Source organism: Homo sapiens, chromosome 2 (assembly GCF_000001405.40).
Source record: "Homo sapiens chromosome 2, GRCh38.p14 Primary Assembly".
NCBI lineage: Eukaryota > Metazoa > Chordata > Mammalia > Primates > Hominidae > Homo > Homo sapiens.
The window spans coordinates 113948656-113971430 of record NC_000002.12 but is presented as its reverse complement, the minus strand read 5'-3'; the positions used below and the strand labels follow the sequence as shown (position 1 = coordinate 113971430).

Genomic DNA, 22775 nt, shown 5'->3' with positions numbered 1-22775 from the left:
CAAATTAATTTCCTAATTATAGCTTGGGTGATGTCTTTCTCTGGATAACACTTTCAATGATTCCATATTCCTTAGGGAACATAAAAATCTATATCCTTTAACCTAACATTCAAGGGCCTCTTCTCTCTCTCTACCTTTCCAACCTCATTAGCCACCACTCCCCAGTAGGGGAGAGAGAGAGAGGGACACTATATTAAAAAGATTATTAACACCAGATAGAAGGAAATAAATTTTAAATGCTTTAAATATTAGAAAGCCACACTCTGCAAGACCATAACTGGTTCCACACACCATTTGGCCAATGTTCAGAGAAAGTGAACAAATTTTAATGTTTATCTAACCCAAACATAATCTTAAGTGTAAATTGCTCAAAATCTGGGGTTTATTACAATCCTATTTTTCATAATAGCCAAACACAGTAAGCCCCCACATGCGTGTGACTTAGGGAATGAGACACAAACGCAGGTTTGAGATGAGACACAATGGGGTTTGAATCCCTGCTCTACTTTGTGTGCAGCAGACAATGCTGGTGTGTATCCAACAATGAACGTGTACATTCCCCACCTCTTCCAAACAGAGAACTGGTTTTGTTCTAGTAGGACACACCCTTTCACCTGGTGTCTCACTAAGCCTGTCTTCGAAATCTATTCAACCTAGACACATGGTGCAGTTCTCACCATTAAGAACTCCTCTGGAAGACTTGTAGGAACATTTTCTTTCTCTTACAAAGGGCCACGCAGGAAGAAATCTCTTTTCTTCACATGGATTTGATTATGTCTGGGCCTGAAATAGCAACCACCATCTGTCAACAAAGGGAGAAGACAAACTAAGGACAGAGCCTCCATGCTGAGAATGACACAACAAAAGGTGGGAAAATACTGGACCCCCGATGATGCTGGTGGGCCACTAAATCAATCAGTCCTGGAGACACCTACCTATAGACTGCTTTGATGTGAGAGGACATTCTTATTTAATTAATAATTGGAATTGGAGTTTTCTGTTACTTGTATCCAAAAGGGTCTAGGCAATACTCTCTGTAACCTTGGTCAAGTCTTTTATCCTTACCAACTGTCAATTTTCTCCTCTGTAAATGGAGTTAGCAACGCTAATTCATGAAATGGTTGCAGGATCAAATGCAAAATATCTAAAACATTGCCTGGCACATAGTAGGTGCTTGATAGTAATTTTATATTTACCTACTTGGCAGCTTTGTTTTCCGGATGTACTCCTTTAAGTACTTTCTCTTATTAATCATTTCTAAACCCAATTTATCTTAAAGAATTTAACTTAATTAAATAATCTTTCATGGAAAAATGATCAAAACCAGACTTAAGACCATGACTGGGAAGCTTATAGTTATTTTTAATTTAACACAGTGCATTCAGGGCTTGCTGATGTGTGTAGACTGTTTCCATCAAATGTGAGAAAAGGAGCTCGACACAGTCTGACAATCTCTGGCAATGCATCTGGTCCTGAAAACTAGACCCATTCCCCAGAGAAGGACTGGGGCAGGCAGGACTTGGCAGGAGGTGTAGAAAGAGACCCAGACAGGAAGAAAACCATCCTGGAGACCTGGAGACATTGTTTAGCATCAGCAAACTCCATCAGCAGACACATAAGATAGTGATGTATAAAACAGTGTTTCCCAACTGGGGCAATAAAGACAGCTGCAGAGGGAGAGAGCGTTACCACCTCACAATAATTTTCTTCTCAAGAATGGTTCTCTCTCCTTCTCATGGTCCAAGGGAGAAATTCAGTTTGTCCCCCAACTCCCACCCACCCAAGAAAATATTTCCTGGTGTTTGGAAATGTCTGCGTTTTACCCACCAGTTGGAGGTCTGGCCAGCCTCAGAGCTGAGAACCGAGGCTGTGATGAGATGGGGGTTTGCAGGCTCGTGGGGCTGCCACAGCAGAAGGGAGCTGTGTGTGCTTCAGCTGTGGCTGCCTCTCCCAGGAGGTTCATCACGGTCAGAGGAACCCAGGATGGCTCCGTTGTCATCAGGGCCCAATCTTCCACCATCTAGCCTTAATAAATCTACAGCATTAGGAATCAGATTGGCAGCAACAAGTCATCACAGAGAGGACAGCAAACTCCCCAACCTCTCACCCTTAATGGAGCAGGAGTAGGGAAGCAGGGAGAGAAGTCAGACCCTGTGCCTCTTAGCCCCAAGTTGCTGGAGCAGTCCCACCTAAGTCAGCTTGTAGTAAAGGATAGGAGCTCTGAAATGACTTCAGACTGCAATTTTAATATACTCATTAGAACACAAAAAAGTGGACTGCAATGGATTCAGCAGAAGAGACGGGTTCACTCCCTCCTGTTTCCTTCAATGAGTTGGGCAGGGGAGGGGCAATAAAACTGTTCCAGGCCGTTCTTGGCATGTATATCTCTGAGCTACTCACGCTTCATCAAACCAGTTAGAGCCTAGAAGGATGTAGGAACAGGGACAAAGGTAAGTCCCTTGTCACTAAGCTTCAGAACTTTGCATCAAGCAAACAAGAACTGAGGAGACATACTATGTGGTAAGAGAACAGGCTAACTTAGAATATTAACTTTATCAAATCCTTTTTGGCTACTCAAAAGCCTTTTTCTATTAATTCCCACTTTTGCAGGTTCTATGAGTAGGTGAGGTCACTGTATACCCAACTTTCAAGTAAGGAAAAGTGCCACTGTAGGTAGGTCAATGACATAGATCCACTTCTAGCCATAGAGAGGCAGAGATTTCTGTTCTCCACTAATCCTCTACCTAAAGGGTATGGTCCACCTTGAAGGTACATCCAGTAAACCGAAGCTTTTTCTACGCTACTATATTCAGATCTATTGATTCTTCAGTGGTACGCTGAGCTATTTTTAATTTATGGTTTATTTCACTATGCTGTGACTAAGGTAGTGGATGAACAAATGTAAACATGCAAAGCTTTGAAAAACAGATTGGGGTGAAGAATTGTCCATTTACTTCTGCACATTTTCAGGTGCAAATGACATTCTATATTTCCTTAGAGTAAAACCTGACAGCTTATGACCTCTTAGTTCCTATGCATCTATTTCACCTCTAATGACACTACTAACAAGGGTTATTTGCACTTATCACACACTATGACAAACACATCTGTCCACTGACATTTAGGTGACTGCAGACAAATGGAGTTATAAAAGGCTTCAACTGCACAGCGCCTCACTGCTTAAGAGTAATTTGTGCTTTATTAGGCAGAGGTGAAACTGTGATGAGGACGTCACTGATGATCTGTTAGGTTTCAAACTTCAGGAAAGTTTCAAGGAAATAGCTAAGATAGGAAACTTCTTTGATTCAACGTGGAAAGTATTTATTAAACATTTACTGTGTGTCCAATGCTGGCCAACGCAATTTTAAAAATCAGGTGGAACTGGCTGGGCACGGTGGCTCACGCTTGTAATCCCTGCACTTTGGGAGGCAGAGTTGGGCAGATCCCTTAAGGTCAGGAGTTCGAGACAAGCCTGGCCAATATGTTGAAACCCCGTCTCTAAAGTACAAAAATTAGCTGGGTGTGGTGGTGCATGCCTGTAATTCCAGCTACTCAGGAGACTGAGGCACAAGAATCACTTGAACCCAGGAGGCAGAGGTTGCAATGGGGTGAGATCAAGCCACTGCACTCAAGCCTGGGTGATAGAGCAAGACTCTGTCTCAAAAAAAAGAAAAAAAGAAAAAAAAAAGGAAAAAAAAAGGCAAAACCATTAAAAGTGGAAAAAACAGGATAAAGGGATATATGTTACATATTATGTAAATACACACACATATATAATGCTAAATTGAGAATTACTGAAATAAAAAAATCAATACAGTTTTCGTGGTCTCATGTCTGCAGTATCAAATACTGTTAACAAACCTATAGTCTGACAAAGATGACCCATTATCATGAAGGAAACTATACACAGAGGAACCACAGAAATTAAGATTTAAGGGTAGGGTAAAATTCAAATGAATCAGCATTTCCATAGGCTCAGAACAAAGCAGGGCTGTGTCTAAAGGGATCAGGTGTGCAAGTGGGCCTAGGATCCTGTATCCATGGAAACTATAGTTAAGATAGATGTGGAATGTGTGTCCAAGAAGTCCTTATCTGAAGTTCTGCATTTCCTTTGGGAATCAAGGCTGCTTCTCTCTGTCAAAGTGAATTATGTAAAAGTGGGATGTTTCATTCTTACTGATAGAACTTTCAACCGTAGATTTTCTGATAGTCTGTGATTTTAGAGAAGAAAGTTTCTCAGCGAGTAAGAAGGGAAATAGTCACTCGAAGGGAGTTATGACAGGTTATAGCTGTAGCAGGTCCTTGGGAGAAATATTGTCTCCTGGCTTTATCTGTGTGTGATGAAGGACAAGACAGATTTATACTTCCTCAGTCTGAGTTAATTTTTACTTACTCACTTCCGTTACAACACTAAACACACACTGTCCTGCATTTTGGTTAGTAATATTCAGGGCTGTCTCCATGCGAGACTGTAAATACAAAGTACACTGTATTCCCGCCAAGGTCTGGCACAGTGTCTCTTATATGGTACATACTTAGAAAAAAATTTTGGACTGAACCTGATTACCAAGAAGCAGCAGTATTTCAAGTTCATCAACCTAAAGAGGTTAGGTCAAGTGGCAGGTTAGGGAGCTCTCCTAAAATTAGAAGAGCTTCCCACTTGCAAAACTGAAGGCAAGCCAATCCTCCTCAGCTGGAAAAAAACCATTATTTTAATAGGATTTCAATAGGAATCTATTCAACAAAGTTGCTCCTACAAAGGGAACTTTTCAAAGGAAACAGCTATGCACACAGGATAGCCTTCTGTGTAAATCCCGTTTACAGAAATATACTTTCAAACCTGCACCTTTAAGATTTTGCTCTTTTTATGGAGGATGACAACGAGGCTTTTCTGTCTTATCTTACCCTAGGCATACATTAACTGCTTAAAAAGGCATAGCCTATTGAGTTTTTATTACTCAAATAATGTATGTTCAATCATCTCAGCTCAAATATGTCATTATTAAACAATCGCACCCATTATAGAGAACATAATGACACCATTTGGAGTGGAAAGCTTTTCTCAACCCTGCGGTACCCCTTGAGTAAAGGGCTTTTGTGTCATAGAACACTTTCCACTTCATCTCATCATGAAACGTTAATACACTGCAAGGAGTTGTTTGTAAATTAGTCTGGTGGGTGTAAATCAGAGAACAGATAGCACAAAAAGTTGTTGTTCAGAAGCGTGAAAGACATGAAACTAGAACTTCTCTCTGTTTTTAATAATTCTAGGGTAAACTTACTTGGATTTAGTGAACATGAGACAAAACTTCCCATCTGATAAAGCAGTTCAGCTCTGCACCAAAATATAATCAAGTTCATCAATGTTTAGATTAATTAAAACTAGATTAATACATGAAAACCATTCCTAAAGAGAAGTCCTTACCAAGTATTCAACCATGTCCTGTTGATCAGCCACATGTATTAGAACTGGCCCTTATCTCAGAGATGACACTAAGGTACACATTCAAAGGCAGCAGTGATGACAAGTGTCAGGAAGGCCTCTCCATGTAAGATTGCTTTGTTTTTACTCAATGTGTGGAGCCCCCTCTTGAGGTCAGCAGCGACATCACATATGCATTACTACAGCTGCTGCTTAGAGCCAGGTGTGTAAGACATCTTAGAGCAGGAGTCCTACTTGGCACAATGAGATGTGAAGGGAAAGCTCCCTCACTCTAAAATAACTCAAGGCTACCTAAAAGACTTTTGTGCTGCCAGAACACATATTAATTCCATTTTTCAAAATATTTACAAGCCTTCATATGTATCTAACCTCAAGCAGCTTTTATCTCATTCTGAAGTGCTATCCCCAAAACTCACAACCTGGGATGCGGATCTTCTTTATAAGTGTTAGCTTTAAGCTATAAATTTTGAGTCCATTTTGCAGGTTTTATAAGGATACTCTAAAAGAATTTGGCAGCACATGGAAGAAAGCTGTTTGCTTTCTTGATAAGTGTAGCTTCAGCTCGTTTGCTTACTACTTAAGCTAAAATGGCCCGCATCCACTTTCTTAAGGAACTTTACTTCCTTCTATAGTTGCTCATTTGTAAGTTTATAATAAGCCCAAGGAGGCCAGCTACTTTGGAAAGGGTAATGATCTAGCCAAGGATGTAAGGGACCCCGAGCACATAACGCCTGGACCTCAGAACACCATACATTTTGAGTTCGTTCTTAAGGTAATTTTATAACTTTGAGCATTTTTAAGTTATTGAAATTTTCTGTGGAAAATAGCCAACTTAAATTATTAGGATACAGAGGAAAGCATACTTTGAGTAAATATATTTTGGGATATAAAATCAAAATCACAATCTTCTTCCATGGTAAAGCTCACCTTAGGAAAATTATCTTGGGAGCGGGATGCCAATGGTCAGTTCTATGCTAAAATAATACAGAGCAACTGGTTAAACCAATCCATGCCATCACTTAGGATTCAGATTGAAACATGAAAAACGTACCACTTATGTAGTTCTAGATCACATGTTGCAAATATGGAAACAGTTTCTGAACTTTCTCTTCCAGGGAAGAAACCTTCATTTATAGTACATATATTTTCAATGGACAAATGTAGGGCCAGTTTATGAGTGCCTCAAATCTGCACGATGAATTAAAGCCAGTTATCATGTATGTGTAATGTAATATTAAGGGATGAACATGTCTTACGTTTCAGTAATTATGCAATTAACTTCGCATCTTTTCAACTGGAGAAACTGTACAAAGTCTAACCTTAAAAAAATGTAGAGAACACTAGCAAGTACTGTAAAAAGAGAATTTCAAGGGCAAAAAAAAATAAATCTTAGAATGTTACTCAATCCTTTACCTCTCCTGGATTTCATTAATGCAAGAATGTAAACAATCTTATTTCTGATTTTGAAATTTTAACGTTACTTTGCTGTAGCTTGAATATACTTTTAAAGTTCCAGAATGCAAAAATCACGTATTTCATTCACCACTACCCCCAGCATCTTGAAGAGTGCTTAGCATATAGAATGTTCCAAATCAATACTGCTGATAAATAAATCCCACTGCAAATTACTGTCATACCCTAAAGAACATCTTTGGTTTTACTCAAGTCATGGGTATATTACTGAAAATGGCATGCTTTAAATAAGAAAATGAAATGCATTATTTCCATAGTCCAGATTCAATTTGATTTTAATAGCAAGCCTTATTTAAATATATTCACTTACAGATAAGGGCAGAAAAGAGAGACATCTAGTGGGTGGACGGAAGGAGTAAGCTCAGAAGCCACATCTGCCACTCCTTCCATCTCTTGGCTAAATGTCTCAAAAAGTCGTTTGTCAACTTTGTGAAACAGGTCAAAGGCATGTTGCTACTTCAATTTCAAAAAGAATACTAGAATACTAATGACGGAATGAAAAATCTTCCACTTGGGGTTTAAGAAGTCATTTCTCCTTGAGGGGAAAATACGTAACACCATTTCATTCATTGTTCTAGTGCCCTGAGGAATACTGCCCACAGAGTTGCAACCTCCCACTTTATAGAGGTGAAGATAGATAAATAGACAAAGACAGTACTGCCCAGACCAAATAATGCTATTTCTTTTGAGATATACCAGTGGCAGGGGACTCCACAGACATTCAACTCAGATGTTATCTAAAGGTGAGATCACTAGCAGATCTCTGAGCTTGAGGTCATTAAAACATATATAGACATATAACGGCTGCTCCATTTTTTCAATGGACCATCTTAAAAGGAAGATAACTTTATTCAACAAATGTTTAAGCATCTGCCACATGCCAAGCATTGTATTTTATAACATCATTACAAACTTCCCTTTTATTTGTAGCCTAAAAATGTTTTACCAGTCTTCAAAAGCCAAGTGAGGTACTTTCTAATTCATAAAAGATCCACTTAGGTCACTGGCAAGTTGAACTTTCAGCATTAGTGAAATCAGAAACGAGGTACACAAACTTAGCACCAATGTGGAGATACATAGCCAAAATGTGAACGACCTCAAGTATGCCCCGTGGAGAAGCTAAATTAGGCAGTCTGAAATCCCCATAGTTTTTCTGTATATGGAATGTCGTTTTTAAGAGCTCATTGCCTATTCATAAAGTCCAATCCAATCTCAAAAAGACTGCTGAGTTTTAGGCTCCTTCCTTAGTTCAGCACATTAGCCTGGTAACTATCTGGTAACTATAGTATCAGACATGACTTGGTCATCTGATACCTCCCTCTAGTAGTCTAGCACAGGAATCTTGCTATCAGCTTTCCCAATAGAATGAGTCAGAGAAGCTAAGAAATGTTGCCAAATTAATTTTGAAAAAAATTTAATAAACCATATGCTATTCAGTAAAATATCAAAAAAATTATAACCAGTAAGTTCTATTCTGCAACTACCTGTGTGGTCTTTGCAAAGTCACTTTTCCACAATGTTATTTATGTCAATCATGTGTGTGATTTCACCCTGAACTGCATCAACTTTTTTAGCCAATGTTTGTGTTTGAGGGTGTGTTTGAAGGTGTCAGATATCCTTCAGTCTTCTCTCCCACTCTTCTCCTCACTTCTCCTAATCACAATATTCTAATCCCCTCCCCAATTGCTGTAACTCAAGTTGCTTCTGCCATATCTAAAATATCATCCCCACCTACTCTCCATCTACTAAAACATTCATCTTTCAAGGTTTGGGCTAAGAAAAATCAGTCTACTGCAGTAGAAACTACCCCACTAGTGCTTTAGTCATCTCATGAATGTATACATTATTCCAACTAATCATTTTAGCATTTAAAACAAGTCTCAGATTTTCTTGTTGCTCAGGAATTTATTTGGGAAAGATCCCATGTACCCACAATAAGAAAAAGATGTGTGGTTCCAATTCCGATATCGACTTTCTAATATAATTCCAAATAAGATTAACAATTTACTGCAACCTTGAATCTTATTAATTAAAAATGGAGGAAGTTTAGAATTAAGTCATCTCTAAATCAAGTGGTTTAACATGGGATCTGGACAATATCAAAATTGATCAATAAAAGCCAGAGGGAGAAATGAGGCCTGTTTCTACTGTTAATGTTGAATGTTACATTTCAGGACATGTCAATTACCTTGTACAACAATCTGATTTAGAGCCTGTGATCATTTACACTACAGAGATTTTGAAATGACTGAAGGCTTAGATAATTATTTAAGACCTGCTTCAGAAAAGTCATGATCACTTAGTAATCCCCCACTACCTTACGCAGAATGTCACTTCTAAGGTAGAAACTAGTGGAACAGAAAAAAAGTCGTAATTCGGTCATATTTGACAAATATGGGTATTTTGAAGGAACAAAAGTTGTATACTCATGTAATTCAAAGTTTTATTTTAACATGAAAAATAATTTTTACTCATTCATTCATCAAACACATCCACTAAACTACTATATGCCAAGCAATATGTCAGGCACTGGAAATATGAAATGAATAAAGCAGATGCTACTGTCGAATTACTTTCATCTGTTGTTGGATGTAACACTTAGGTAAAAATTTTAGGAGCAAAGTACTAATTTTTAAACAATAGATCCACTTTTATAAGCCCCACTTTCACCTTACATAGCTGGACTTCTCCCTCTAAACAACTAACACTACCATTTTTATGAAGAGAAATTCCGCACTTACTATCTCTCAAATCTTATCTAGGCAAAATATTTGTCCCTCCTCTAAGAGTGCCTTTACTATTAGACTAAGCCAAGGACAGAATATTTATTCATCTTTATGCACAGTACTTGAACCACAGTAGACAGTCAATCAATGCTTCTGGGATTGAAGGCTCAAAACTTGATGCAATATATAGGTAATATAAGTGAATGTTGGTGCTTGAATAAAAGAGAAACTTTATTTTAATTCAGCATCTTAGTTTTAATGTAATTATAAAAGTCACCAAAAATTGACAGAACACTAGAAAACAAGTAATTGCTAAATCAAAATAGAATATCGTATACTTTTAATCTTTCATTTTTTTTCTTTCAGGTTTTTCAGTTGCCTTCTTTCCTAGATCACGTATTTCTATCGTTGTTCCTTTTTTATTGTTCCTGTGACCACTGGAGCACTAGTAATAAATCCTTAACTCAAATAGGTTATATTTAATTTCAGCACCCAAGCTCCAAATGCATCAGCTAAACTGGGTTATAGCATGGAGAATACCTCAGACGACCACAGATTTTATTTTTGTTAAGATTCTATCAAGACTGAGGCAAATTATAATAAAAGTTCTCATATCATAGAAAACAAATTACGTGGAAAAGGATAAACATTTATACAGTACTGAAGCGTTATCAACAATGAGTAGCAGAAATTCTTTTTCACTGAAGTCCAAAAGCCATCCCAGCCCTCCAGCAGATCTAAAGATTCTTGCTAAAGGTCAATTCAGGATATAGACCTAATACAAGAACAAGGTATTTACTGTCAAGATTTGCTATGAAAGTTCCACGTAACTTGTAACAACTCTGTCCTTGGCCAACTATATATACAAGGTGCTGTTACAATGAAATATATTTTAAGGCACAGTATTCCAAACTGAGTAGAACATTTTGCTCCCAGAGTCTGCACAGATTTTGGATTATTTATACCAGCTAATAGAATTAGTACCAATTAACCCGAGTTGGAAATCTGGGTGGTAACAGACTTCAGAGGGCTATCCAAGGTACTCATGCCTGGTGACTATGAACTACGAAAGATCAGAAAGAATGGGTCACAGGAATCAAGGTTGAGCTGGTAAGAAAAGGGGGAAAAGACTGGACTTCAGTATTGACAGATTAGCCCAGAATGAAGAGGAACAAAAACATCCTTTACTATGGTACAAATAAGCTTTATAACACAAATAATCTTCTCAATAATTTTATAAACATTCTAGTATCATCTTTAGGGTTATCTGAAAGAAGTTTCTATAGATATATTCTCTAGTACTTTTCTGTAGAAATTAAAAATAAAGATCATAATTGGCCTATTATCCCTGTATTTCATATTATTTCTAAAAATATTCCTAGAAATATCTGCAAGAATAGTTATTTTAATCTTTTAAGTAGCTGTGAAAACAAACCAAAAAATTGTATTGGGGGGTCTGAATAACCACTTTATCTCCTATAGAAAAGAAGATAGGTAAGAAGAGGATGAGTACTTATAGTAGGTGCCATGAATTAATGTCTAAGGGTGAAGATGTGAAATTTGCTCACTTTTTGAAAAGCAGGCATCAAGTTAGATAATGATCATTGATTTTATTTGTCCATTACTATTTCCCACTTGATCAAAGCACTGCCTATTAAAAAGGATAAATCAGATAATACCTTTACTACCACTAATGAATCAATAGAAAAGGCTAGGTTTTGCAGTCAGAATCTACTACACTGCTAATATTGCTATTAATAAGCTACATTATATTCTAACAACTCAAAGAAATTGCAGGATAATCCAGTATAATGCCTTTACCTTATATATAAATTGAATCAAGGTCCAGAGAGTTCAAATAATTTGTCCAAAATAATACAAATATATTTTCCAAGTTTTAACAAAAAACAAAGTTCGAGGAGCTATATCATCAATTATCAGAATCAGAATTAAAAATTAAATCACTGGCTTCAGTTAGTGCTTTTGCTACCATGCTCACGTTGCTTGATATCTAATCAATGTTACAGACTATTTAGTTCACCTTGGCCAACCTCTACATATTTCCAGCTGAAGTTGCTTTAAGTTGAAAAAACGGTATACAATCACAGAGGAGAGATATAAAGAAACAAGAATGCTGCTACCATCCTATTAGGGTTCACTCCTCTAAAAGTAGAGCAAAGGGATATCAGAACATACACAAGAAGGGCTGGAGTTTTGTTTCCCCAAATAAGTTAAGCGTAAGCTTCAAGAAAGTTTTTGATCTTCATGTTTTTGTAGCAAACAGTTAAGAACATCTCTGTATAAATATGCCTGAGATTGTCATCAAATAGCTTTATAAACATGTCTTTCTAGCTTATTCACTTAACTACCCAACCATCGCCGGTGGAAAAGACATATTTATGACAATGCTAACAATATTTTATTGGGCCAGGAGCATGACATCTTTACTGCTTATCAATATAGTTCTTTATCAAAAGATCTTTAATAAAAGCAAAGTGCAGAACAGTATATACAGTAAGTTCCTATTTGTGTAAAATAAGAAAGCTACATTTATTTCTACCTACACAGAAAATTACAATACAAGGACATCTAAGACATTCCAAGTAGTCTGTGTAATGATGGAAAAATGAGACAGGCTAGGGAAAAAAACTTACTTTTGCTAATCTACTCTTTGGTACTGTTTGAATAGTATTTTTATAATGTTTGTGAATTACTTTTCCAAGTAAAAAAAGGAGACCTTTGATACTGATGATGATACTACTGTAGGATATAGTTTGTCTTTTACAATCCCATACTCAAAGAATGAAGATTCACAAAAATTATTATAGGATTTTAAATATTCAGATCCACTCTAAACAAAAACTGAAGTTTACTCCCCAATTCTATCTTTAGAGTAAAAACAAAAAACTAAACACTTTATATTCTTTCACTTTTGAATAGACGTATTCCAATCCTAACGTGTTATTTTCATGAATAATGGAGTTCAAGTGTTCACTGATACTGCTAGTAAAAAGCCTATAAAACATTTCCCATTTTCTCTTTCTATAAATAACTGGTAAAATTTTAAGGTCACAAGAAATTTTCTACCATACACATTACAGAGATTTCAATAACTCCCAAATCTCAACAGAAACAGATATCACATACATAAAAACAAAATAGAATTACATTACTTAAAAAAAAAAAACATTAGAAAAGGTAATTCAGTTTTAATTTATTTTCATCACTTTTTCTTCATAATCCAGATATTTTAAAATGCAAAGAAAATTAACTTTCAATGATATGTTCAGGGACTGGCACTAAAAAAAATTTTCAGACTGCAAATGAGTTATACAAATGAAAATATCAAATGGAGATCCAGTTATCAAAATGAAAGCACTCAACATATTAAAAGTTCACAAGTATTTGTATTGAGCACATTACAAAAGTCAGCTTGCTAACTGTTGTGATTTTAAAGAACTATTGCAGAAGTCTGAAGAAAATAGATTTATTAGTTAACTTATAAAGAGATTAAAGAGGCTGAAACAAGTATTAAAAAGAAATTTGTGCCTTTATTAGAATGTTAGGCTTTAAATATGCCAATTTTGATAAATTATTGTTGTTGTTTTGTTTTTTATAAGAAATGACACTACAGAACTGCAATACTGGTCCAACACTCTTGTCTTTACTCTTCTTTTAAAGCAAGAAACAGAATGCGAGTAATCAGAAAGCACTAGCAGGCATCAGTTAATCCAAGATACTAGCTCTTAGTTCCAAAAGCACTTGCAAAGAAAACCTTTTGGGGGGAAGGGGTGGAGAGGGATGGAAGCACTCCATAATAACTGGAATCCCACGAGTGTGTATGCCAAGTCTCATGAGGCTATTTTTTGAATTTATCCTTTACTTGGTCATGGTTTTTTCCCTCAAATACAATTTTTCTTTGACTTTTTTTCCTCAAAGTATAAAAAGTATGAAATATAAACAAGCTCTTGCACTGCACACTTAGAAGTGTACAATTCAAGCATTATAGAGCTATCTACACACTGATAAATCCCATCGAATCTTGGATAATTCATTAATATACAAAATATCAGGGCACAGAAAGAACTAAAACCCACTTCTTTTTGTTACACATAAGATTCAAATATTCAATCTAAAGAAAAACACAATCACTTTCGCTCTCTTCTACATCTGCATGGTGATACACTTATTAAAATATTCCTGTATAATCATGTTTGGTGTTACTATTTCAAGTCAGGTTTAAAACCTCAAAACCAGCCATCCAGACAAAACAGGTAATCAGAAAGATTATCTCTTCCCCACCTCCCTAACCCCAATAACTATGAAGCCAATTTTACGACATGACTCCAAACACTGGATTGTGACGACAAATGCTAGGTCCAATTTCTTCATAATCCTTTTTGGTGTGGCATACTTGGTAGAACTCAGGCTGAAAACAAAAAATATGTATTTTTATAAGGGTCAAAAATCTACCATCTTGAAGGTATATTGAAATAAACTTTAAGAGTGATGCTTTAAAATAGATGTTAAGTCTAAAATGTTTATTATTAGTCCATTCATGGCATGAAAGCTTAGAAATTCTAGCAGCCATGACTTAAAATCAGCTATAAATCTTTATCGGAACTCCAAAAGAGCAATTAACTCCTGTCCCCAATCCTTGTCTCACACACCTGCTGCGAGGATTCTGAAATTTTGAAAAATGGAAGGTTCTCAAATGTCCAGTCTGTTCTGTTGAGACTTTCCCATACTTTCATTGCACCAATAATGTAAAGAAGCGGCATTCGCCTAACTACAGATAAAACTACTCCTAGTCATGCTATGACTATTTTTCGTCTAGTTCTAAGAAATGTCTAGATCATTTGCCTTCCTCATTCAAGGTCTGGAAAAGATAGACTGTTCCATGCTGTGTTACCTCATTTCTCAAGGCAAAGTCACAAACTCAACTAGGTTATATGGCCCAATTGAAGAAGACTAAAATTGAGGAAAAAAATAACTTTCACCTCTTATGTTGGAAATGGTTTTAAATCCAAAGTTGTACAGTTATTCAATAATTCAGATAAAAGCTCCTTCATTTTAATATTGCATGCACTACCAGAACAAAGCACCAATACTTCCTAGGTTAATGGTATTAGAACACTAGAACACCTTTTTAGGGGGCTTTAAAGACATTTTAATTTGGGGACAGGATTCTTAGAATAATTCCCTTTATTCAGTGTAAAACATCATACTTTCTATGCAATGAAGCTTAACTTTTACCTTAATGTTTTTAAATACTTAAACAGAACAAACAAGGACCTTCTGATGACTAAATTACCAGTTTTAACAGAACTTTCCCTACAGATAAACTTTAAAACATAGTATAAAATGGTCACTCTAAAATAATGTCTAGCAAGCTAAAAAAAAAAAAAAAATTAAATTCAAATGACTTCCAATTAAATTTAAATTACTTCCAATTTTTAAAATACTACAAACACATATATACAAAGTTTCCTATTATTTTGAGATACAATTTAAAGGAATTTGCTTTGTTCTTCTCCAAGTATTGATGGACTCTTCTATCTTAAATATATATATATAAATTTAAACATAAGCTTCAGCCAGGCGCAGCAGCTCACACCTGTAAACTCAGCGCTCTTTGGGAGGCTGAGGTGGAAGGATCACTTGAGCCCAAGAGTTTGAGACCAGCCTGGCCCAACATAGTAAGACCTCATCTCAATAAAAAATAATAATAATAATAAAGGCCAGGAGCAGTGGCTCACACCTGTAAACCCAACACTTTGCTTTGGGAGGCCAAGGTGGGCAGATCCCAAGGTCAGGAGTTCAAGAGTAACCTAGCCAACATGATGAAACCCAGTCTCTGCTAAAAATGCAAAATTAGCCAGGTGTGGTGACGCATGCCTGTAGTCCCAGCTACTTGGGAGGCTGAGGCAGGAGAATCACTTTAACCCAGGAGGTGGAGGTTGCAGTGAGCCAAGATCATGCCATTGCACTCCAGCCTGGGTGACAAGAGCGAAAGTCCACCTCAAAAATAAATAAAATAATAATGATAAAATAAAATAAAAGTAAGCTTCATCACACTCACCGTGGAAGCCAGCATTGATCCTCCAAACCAAACTGCATATCGCTGCATGTGGTGTGTAATGACTTGTACATCAATAGGTTTTGGCTAAAGAAAGACATAGTATGATCATCTTCATAGTAAATTCAAATAACAACTTCTGTGTCATTTAACCTTAAATGTACATATACAAAAATAATATCTGTACTAAATTCAGGTGGTATCTTACAAACCAGAAACAATTGAGATTGGCTGTCTCAGAGGAAAGGGGTTGGGAACACTGTGGAAGAGACAGGGAGGGAACAGAGCAGAATAAATGGAAGGGAAATAACAATGAGCACATGTTTTATACAGTTCTGACTTTAAGAATCTAAATGTTAGTGTTTTACATACTAAAAAATAACACCTTAAAAGAAGGGGAGGTTGGGGCAAAACAAAGTACAACAAAAACAAATTAAACTAATTGTACTTTTTTCAAACATAAGCACACTAAGGTGAGGAAAGGGACTAACACAAGCAACTTGTGAGCATAGTATTTTGAATCTTATAAGCCTTCAGGCTGAAGATAAAATATAAGCAAATATTGAATTCTAGTTTTGGGTCTATTTTTCACAGTGGTGTGGATTAACAATTCTGAAACTATCATATACATATTCCAGGATTAAGCAAAAACATAAACATATTATAGATAATAGGAGCCAGGTTTCTCACTGTCAGAGAAGGGCATTACAATATGGAAGGGCAGAAAACTAGAGTGAACCTTCTATAACTGGAGACGTCTGTAAAAATTCATGGTTTTAATTTATGTAGAGAATTAGATATAGATGTATAAACACACACACACCCCTAGCTCTAATCACTGAGAAGGCCTAGACTCAGTGATACCCCAACAGCAATGAGCACAAAGCTTGGTTTCTTAGTAACGTTCTCCACTAACAGGAATAAGACAAGGGTGTCTTGAAGAAAGAAAAGGAGAAAAAAAGGGCTGATTCCAGGGCCAGAAAAGAGAAAGTACAAGATCAGCCTGAAACACCTTGCTGTGCCGGGAAGTACAGAAGTAGGCAAAAAAAAAGATGTGGCTGCATCAAAAAAAAAAACCTAAGAGCCATTTGAATAACTCCCACTGGTCAAATCTGAAAAAAAAAAAAATGTGGGATTAAAATTAATGATGAGTGGTATTACTGATATTATGATATTACAGTGATATTAAAGATATAGACCACAAAATGAGAAATCAGGAGTTCATATAGATATTACTAAAAGAATAAATGAATGTGGGAGAAGGGAAAACTCTTGCTTATAGTAAAACAAGTCTTAAAAACATAGAAGGAATGACAGAAATTGCAAAACTCCATTTAGCAACTACCACAGTAATAACTGTTTTAGGGAAGAATCACAATGGATGCTAAAAACTAGTGACTGAAACTTAAAAGAGAAACAGGATAGTCTGAAAGTGTCTCCTCATTAGATTCTTATTAAATATAAAGGAAAACATAATAACTTTATAGTGAAAAAACCTGGCAGACACAACTTCAACCAAAAGCTCAAAATTCACACACAGGACAAATTCTATCATGTGTCTACTGATACAATGCACTAAAAATGATACAATATCAATTCTGTGGCATCACTGCCAAAAGTACATAATCTGAACCTACTCAAGCAGAAATATTAAACAAACCCAAGCTGAAGGATATGCTACAAAATAAATGGCTGTACTCTTCAAAAATGTCACATTCATTCATGAAAGACAAAAAACATTGAGTATGTAACAGACTGAAGCAACACAATAAGTAAATGAAACATGCAATCCTTGATTGGATCCTGGATAAGGGGGAAGAAGGTATTTTGTTTTCCTTTTGTTATAAGGGACATTAGTGAAACAACCGGTAAAATTAGAATCAGTTCTATAACTAGATAACACTGGATCAAGGTTAATTTCATGATTTTGATAATTGTAATATGTTCTTGATTTTAGAAATATACTAAAATGTTTGGGGATAATGAACCATCATATCTACAATTTAGTGTGTGTGTGTGTGTACACACACCTATTTATAGAAACAGAATGATATGGCTTTTTTCAAAACTGTTTGGTTGCCATTAAAAATTACAGACTGAAGGAAAATAAAGCCAGAGATAGATAGATAAAGGCATGCTATTAAGATCTATAAAAGTTACTAGCAAGTAAAACTAAGGTGAAGAAGGCAGAGTCCTCCAAAACACAAGGTTTTTCCTATACATGATGAGCATCCCAAGTCTGAAAATCCAAAATGCTCCAAGATCCAAAAACTTTTTGAGCACCAACATGATGTTCAAAGGAAATGCTCAGAATTTCAGATTTTTGGATTAAGGATGTTGAACCAGTATATAATGCAAATACTCCAAAATCCAGAAAAACTCAAAACCTGCAACACTTCTGGTATGAAGCAATTCAAAAAAGGGACACCCAATCTGTTTCTTTCAATATGTCGATACGGTACTGATCACTGGGTAAATTTATTTCTTATTTACAAGTGTAAAAAGAGCTTAAAAATGTTAAACAATCTCACTTTTTTAAAATACTATACTCAGAAACATACAGCATTGTTTTGTACTTATATATCTGTAATGAGTTATTAAAAACTAAACAGCTACTTTAATACATCCATAACCATACCATTAGGACAATCAACTTCAATCTTTTAAGTATTCTAACAAAAAAACCAGAACATGCACTATGTTCATTCACATAATCAATGTGGTTAGTAGGATTCTCAGTACAGAGAATTTATACTTGCAAAACCCAATGACTTCTTTTTTAGGTAGGAGGTAGGGTAGATAGATATGTGGGTAAGGGGAGTAGACGGATGGGCAAATGAATGGATGAATGGGGGTGGGCTGGTGGTTTGGTTGGTTGGGAAGGGGATGCAAAAGCAAACACAACATTTTAAAAGTCTATTGAGTAGACTTCCTGAAGTGTGAAGTCATGACATTATAGGGACAGAGTTCAATATTTTGCCTTCCACCCAAAACATATACTTTTTACTGCATTCCTAGGGATAGGTTTACTCAAGATAATCAAAATATAGGCACTGACAACAGTCAGCCATCATGCAATTTCTCAACAATCAGCAAACCCTAGAGTGCTGTGCTTTACTTTTAAGTAATTCTGAATGATTATGGAAGTCTCAGATAAAGTCCTCATTCTTGGTAATCTTCCAAGCAGAAGGTATTTTATTCACATGAAATACCTTTTTTCAAACAGCTTTGAAAAAAGCCATATCATTCCTCTAAATCAACGTTCTGCTTCAATATTTAACAAGGATGAAAAAAATGAAGAATCTATCTCTAAATATAGAAAGTAGACATCTAAGAATTTTAAATTAATTTTGATTTTTTTTAACCTCAAGCCTAAAGGTCCAGGACATGTAATACAAAGGTTACTTTATTAAACCACCGATTTGACTGCACACTTTGAGGTTGCTATGTGGGAGCTAAAGTCAGTTTTTGAGAGCAGGCTTGACTACTCAACAATGGCATCAATCTCAACTCAGCTTTGCTGTCCTTCTATAGTATAAAACATTTTGTGGATCCATAATTAATTTGATTGTTGGTGTATGCAAAGAAATCTACTATATTAATTATCTATGAGAGAGGTATTTAAAAAAAAAGTCTTTCCACAGGTATTACTAAGAATTATTTTCCAGAAATACAGACAATATCCTAGAAGAATCAAATGATCCAGAATATCACAGACATAAATCTATAACATTAACCATTTCCATTAGAATACCTGACAGGTTCCTCTTATTTTTCTAAATCAGAGTGAATGCTGGCAAATATTTCTCATCCTAATCAAGGAAGGCACCCTCAACCTTCTCACCAATAATTGGGAAAACCAACCTTCAATCTACCACCACTCAATTCCTCACTTAATTTCAGCCGGGCATCTACAGTTCTTTTCAAATCTCTTTGCAAGCGACGTCCAAAGTCCCTGAACATGGTTGAACCTCCAGAGAGGACAATATTCTAGTGGAGAGAAAATAAATATAATATTTAAAAAGAGAAAAGTTTAAAGATATAATATATAGTACTGAAATGCTATTATATCCTTTTTATGAGAGGTGTTTAAGTTTTTTTAAAGTAAGACCTTGAATAACAATTTTGCTATAAATACCTTGTAGAGAGGACGTCTGACATCAATAGGACAATTCTGAATTACTTCATCTACAACTTCTGAGATAGGTTGTGTAAAGTCTGGATTAGCAAACTGAAAAATAAGTTGGATATATAATAGAGATCATATCACTACTGACAAATATCACAATAAAAGGTTAAACAAAGTTTTCAGTTCAAAAACAAAAGGCCTTTTAGAAACCACTAATACTGGTCTCTAACAGATTCAGATTGAAGACACTGAAATCAGAGAAAACTCAAAATTATGATGATATATACCATTTTATAACTATCAGAATAGCAAACATGTAAAGTCATACATATACTATGAGCTGGCAAAAATCTGGGTAAATGGAAACTTTCATATAACGCTGTGAGAGTATACACTGATGTAACCACTATGGAGAATAATTTGGCAATAGTAACATAGTGACATGGTCTGGCTCTGTGTCCCCACCCAAATCTCATCTTGAATTGTACTCCCATAATTTCCACGTGTTGTGGGAGGGACCTGGTGAGAGAGAATTGAATCATGAGGGTGGTTTCCCCCATACTGTTCTCATGGAGTGAATAAGTTGCACAAGGTCTGATGGTTTTATCAGGGATTTCTGCTTTTGCGTCTTCCTCATTCTCTCTTTGCCTGCTGCCATCATGTAAGACAGGACTTGCTCCTCCTTGCCTTCTGCCATGATTGTGAGGCTTCCCCAGCCACGTGGAACCATAAGTCCAATTAAACCTCTTTCTTTTATAAATTGCCCAGTCTCAGGTATGTCTTTATTAGCAGTATGAAAACGGACTAATACAAATAGCTAATAAAATTTTAAATGCACATACCAGTAACTCCACTTCTTACAACAAACTCTGAAGAAACTCCCCAAACATGTATGCTATTACATATGCATATTTACTATAGCCTTGTTTCTAAGAGGAAAAACCCGTTAAGTCCATCAATAGGGGATGAAATAAATAAATGTAGTCTAATCTCATTATTCATGATTCCATATTTGTGAATTTACCTAATCGCTAAAACATATTTGTTACTCCCCAAATCAAAATATGGTTATTCATGGACATGCACGTGTAGAGCAACAAAAATTTGAGTCCACTGATGTGCACATTCCCCATTGAGGTTGAACAAGATGATACTCTGCTATCTAGTTTCAGCTCTCATACTATAAACAAGTGTCCTTTTCACAGTTCTATTTAGTGGCACGGTTTTCATATTTTTGTTAGTGATTTCATTATTTAAAATGGCCCCCAAGCATACTGCTCAAGTGCTGGCTAGTAAACACAAGGAGGCTGTGATGTGTCTTACAGAGAAAAAGCAAGTTAGATAGCTTTGTTCAGACATGTGTTCTAGTGCTATTGAATATAAATGAATATACTAAAATGATATACTAAATGCAGTGCCTTTAAAAAGAAACACACATGAAACAAGGGTATATGTTAATGGGATAACAAAAATGTTACCAGAGGCTCAAAGAAACCTAATACTGTATTTCCCCTAGGAGCAATAGCTAGCTCAGTGTTCACTAATTCAGCGCTCTCAAGAACTTTTTGGCACATCTACTTTGAATAACAAACATCAGCTATATATTCAAACGATGATATACCATAGTCAAAATAAACTTACTATTTCCAAACAGCTGGCACTCAAGAAAAACATACTTTTTAAAAAACTAACTTAAACAAAAACAAAAAACAACTTGAAGCTGGGCATGGTGACTCACACCTATAATCCCAGTGCTTTGGGAGGCCAAGGCAGGACCATTGCTTGAGACCCAGAGTTTGACACCAGCCTGGGCAACATAGCGAGACCCTGTCTCTACAAAAAATTTAAAAACTAGCTAGGCATGGTGGCACACACCTGTAGTTCCAGCTACTTGAGAGGGCTGAGGAAAAAGGATTGCTTGACCCTAGGAATTCGAGGTTACACTGAGTTATGATCACACCACTGCACTCCAGCCTGGGTGACAGAGAGAGACTCTGTCTCTAAATAAATAATCAAAATCTAGCTCTAATTAGTGAAAAACAAACAAGTATTGTATATCTCCTCAGCCATTCATTTTTATCATTAGGTTGTCCTAGTTGAGAGACATTATTCCTTTATTTATTAAACTGAGTCTATAACTGTATTGATAATTATTAGGCATGTGTCAATTTTTTCTTTTTTTTTTTCTTTTTTTTTTTTTTTTGAGACCGAGTCTCGATCTGACACCCAGGCTGGAGTGCAGTGGCGCAATCTTGGCTCACTGCAACCTCTGCCTCCTGGGTTCAAGCAATTCTCCTACCTCAGCCTCCCGAGTAGCTGGGATTACAAGCGTCCGCCACCACGCCCGGCTAATTTTTGTGTTTTTAGTAGAGACGGGGTTTCACCATGTTGGCCAGGCTGATCTCGAACTCCTGACCTCAGGTGATCCGCCTGCCTCAGCCTCCCAAAGTGCTGGGATTATAGGTGTGAGCCACCACGCCCTGCCTTTTTCCAGTTTTTAAGATTAGTTCTAAATTATTTACAGGCTGCGCATACAATGAAAAGAGATTTAATGTTATCAAAGTGACACATACTAATACAAAATCTTTTCATTTAGATCATGTAAATGGAGTGAAAAAGACATAGGATATACGAAAAAGAGATCCAACACAAGAGAGAGGGAAAGGGAATCCCTAGAATGATAGTAAAGGAATATGGCAACTCTATACTGGGAACCGACAGAAGCAAGTTCAGATTGGGATGTAAAAGACACTTCAGAAAATTAAACTGATGAATAAACCCTATACATCTGAATATCCTGAGAAGAGATTTATATAACTACTGAAGAGAGTTTGGAGGTGAATGAATGGTAATTATTTTAGCACTAAGCAAACAGTTTATTAATGACTTCTTGGAAAACAAAGTTACTTATAGGAAGGGAAAAGA

The 22775-nt window shown here is 36.2% G+C and overlaps 1 protein-coding gene and 1 long non-coding RNA gene across 4 annotated transcripts in view, besides 1 other annotated feature; both read right to left on the bottom strand.

The window, feature by feature from the left end:
• LINC01191 (long intergenic non-protein coding RNA 1191) overlaps positions 1-2109 on the bottom strand; it is a 58761-nt gene extending 56652 nt beyond the window's left edge. The window contains exons 1-2 of the long non-coding RNA NR_148507.1: positions 1828-2109; positions 678-802 (exon numbers count right to left, since the gene is read on the bottom strand). This is a non-coding gene — a long non-coding RNA (long intergenic non-protein coding RNA 1191). The remainder of the gene's footprint in view (positions 1-677; positions 803-1827) is intronic.
• Positions 4305-4599: an enhancer, noted in NCBI's record as "tiled region #10480; HepG2 Activating DNase matched - State 5:Enh". NCBI's record gives its function as "activates a minimal TATA promoter and a strong SV40 promoter by Sharpr-MPRA in HepG2 cells {active_cell/tissue: HepG2}" and the evidence as "EXISTENCE:reporter gene assay evidence [ECO:0000049][PMID:27701403]".
• Positions 8835-22775, bottom strand: part of ACTR3 (actin related protein 3) — a 72663-nt gene continuing 58722 nt past the window's right edge. For 2 of the 3 annotated variants that reach the window (NR_102318.1, NM_001277140.1), the window contains 4 exons: positions 19860-19952; positions 19586-19711; positions 15725-15808; positions 9877-14071 (listed from right to left, as the gene is read on the bottom strand). Coding sequence is in view for 2 of the 3 variants with exons in the window: in NM_001277140.1 (NP_001264069.1) it covers positions 13976-14071; positions 15725-15808; positions 19586-19711; positions 19860-19952 (399 nt within the window). In the remaining variant the exon portion in view is untranslated. Of the gene's footprint in view, positions 14072-15724; positions 15809-19585; positions 19712-19859; positions 19953-22775 lie in introns of all 3 variants that reach the window. The other variant, NM_005721.5, reaches the window with a different exon arrangement.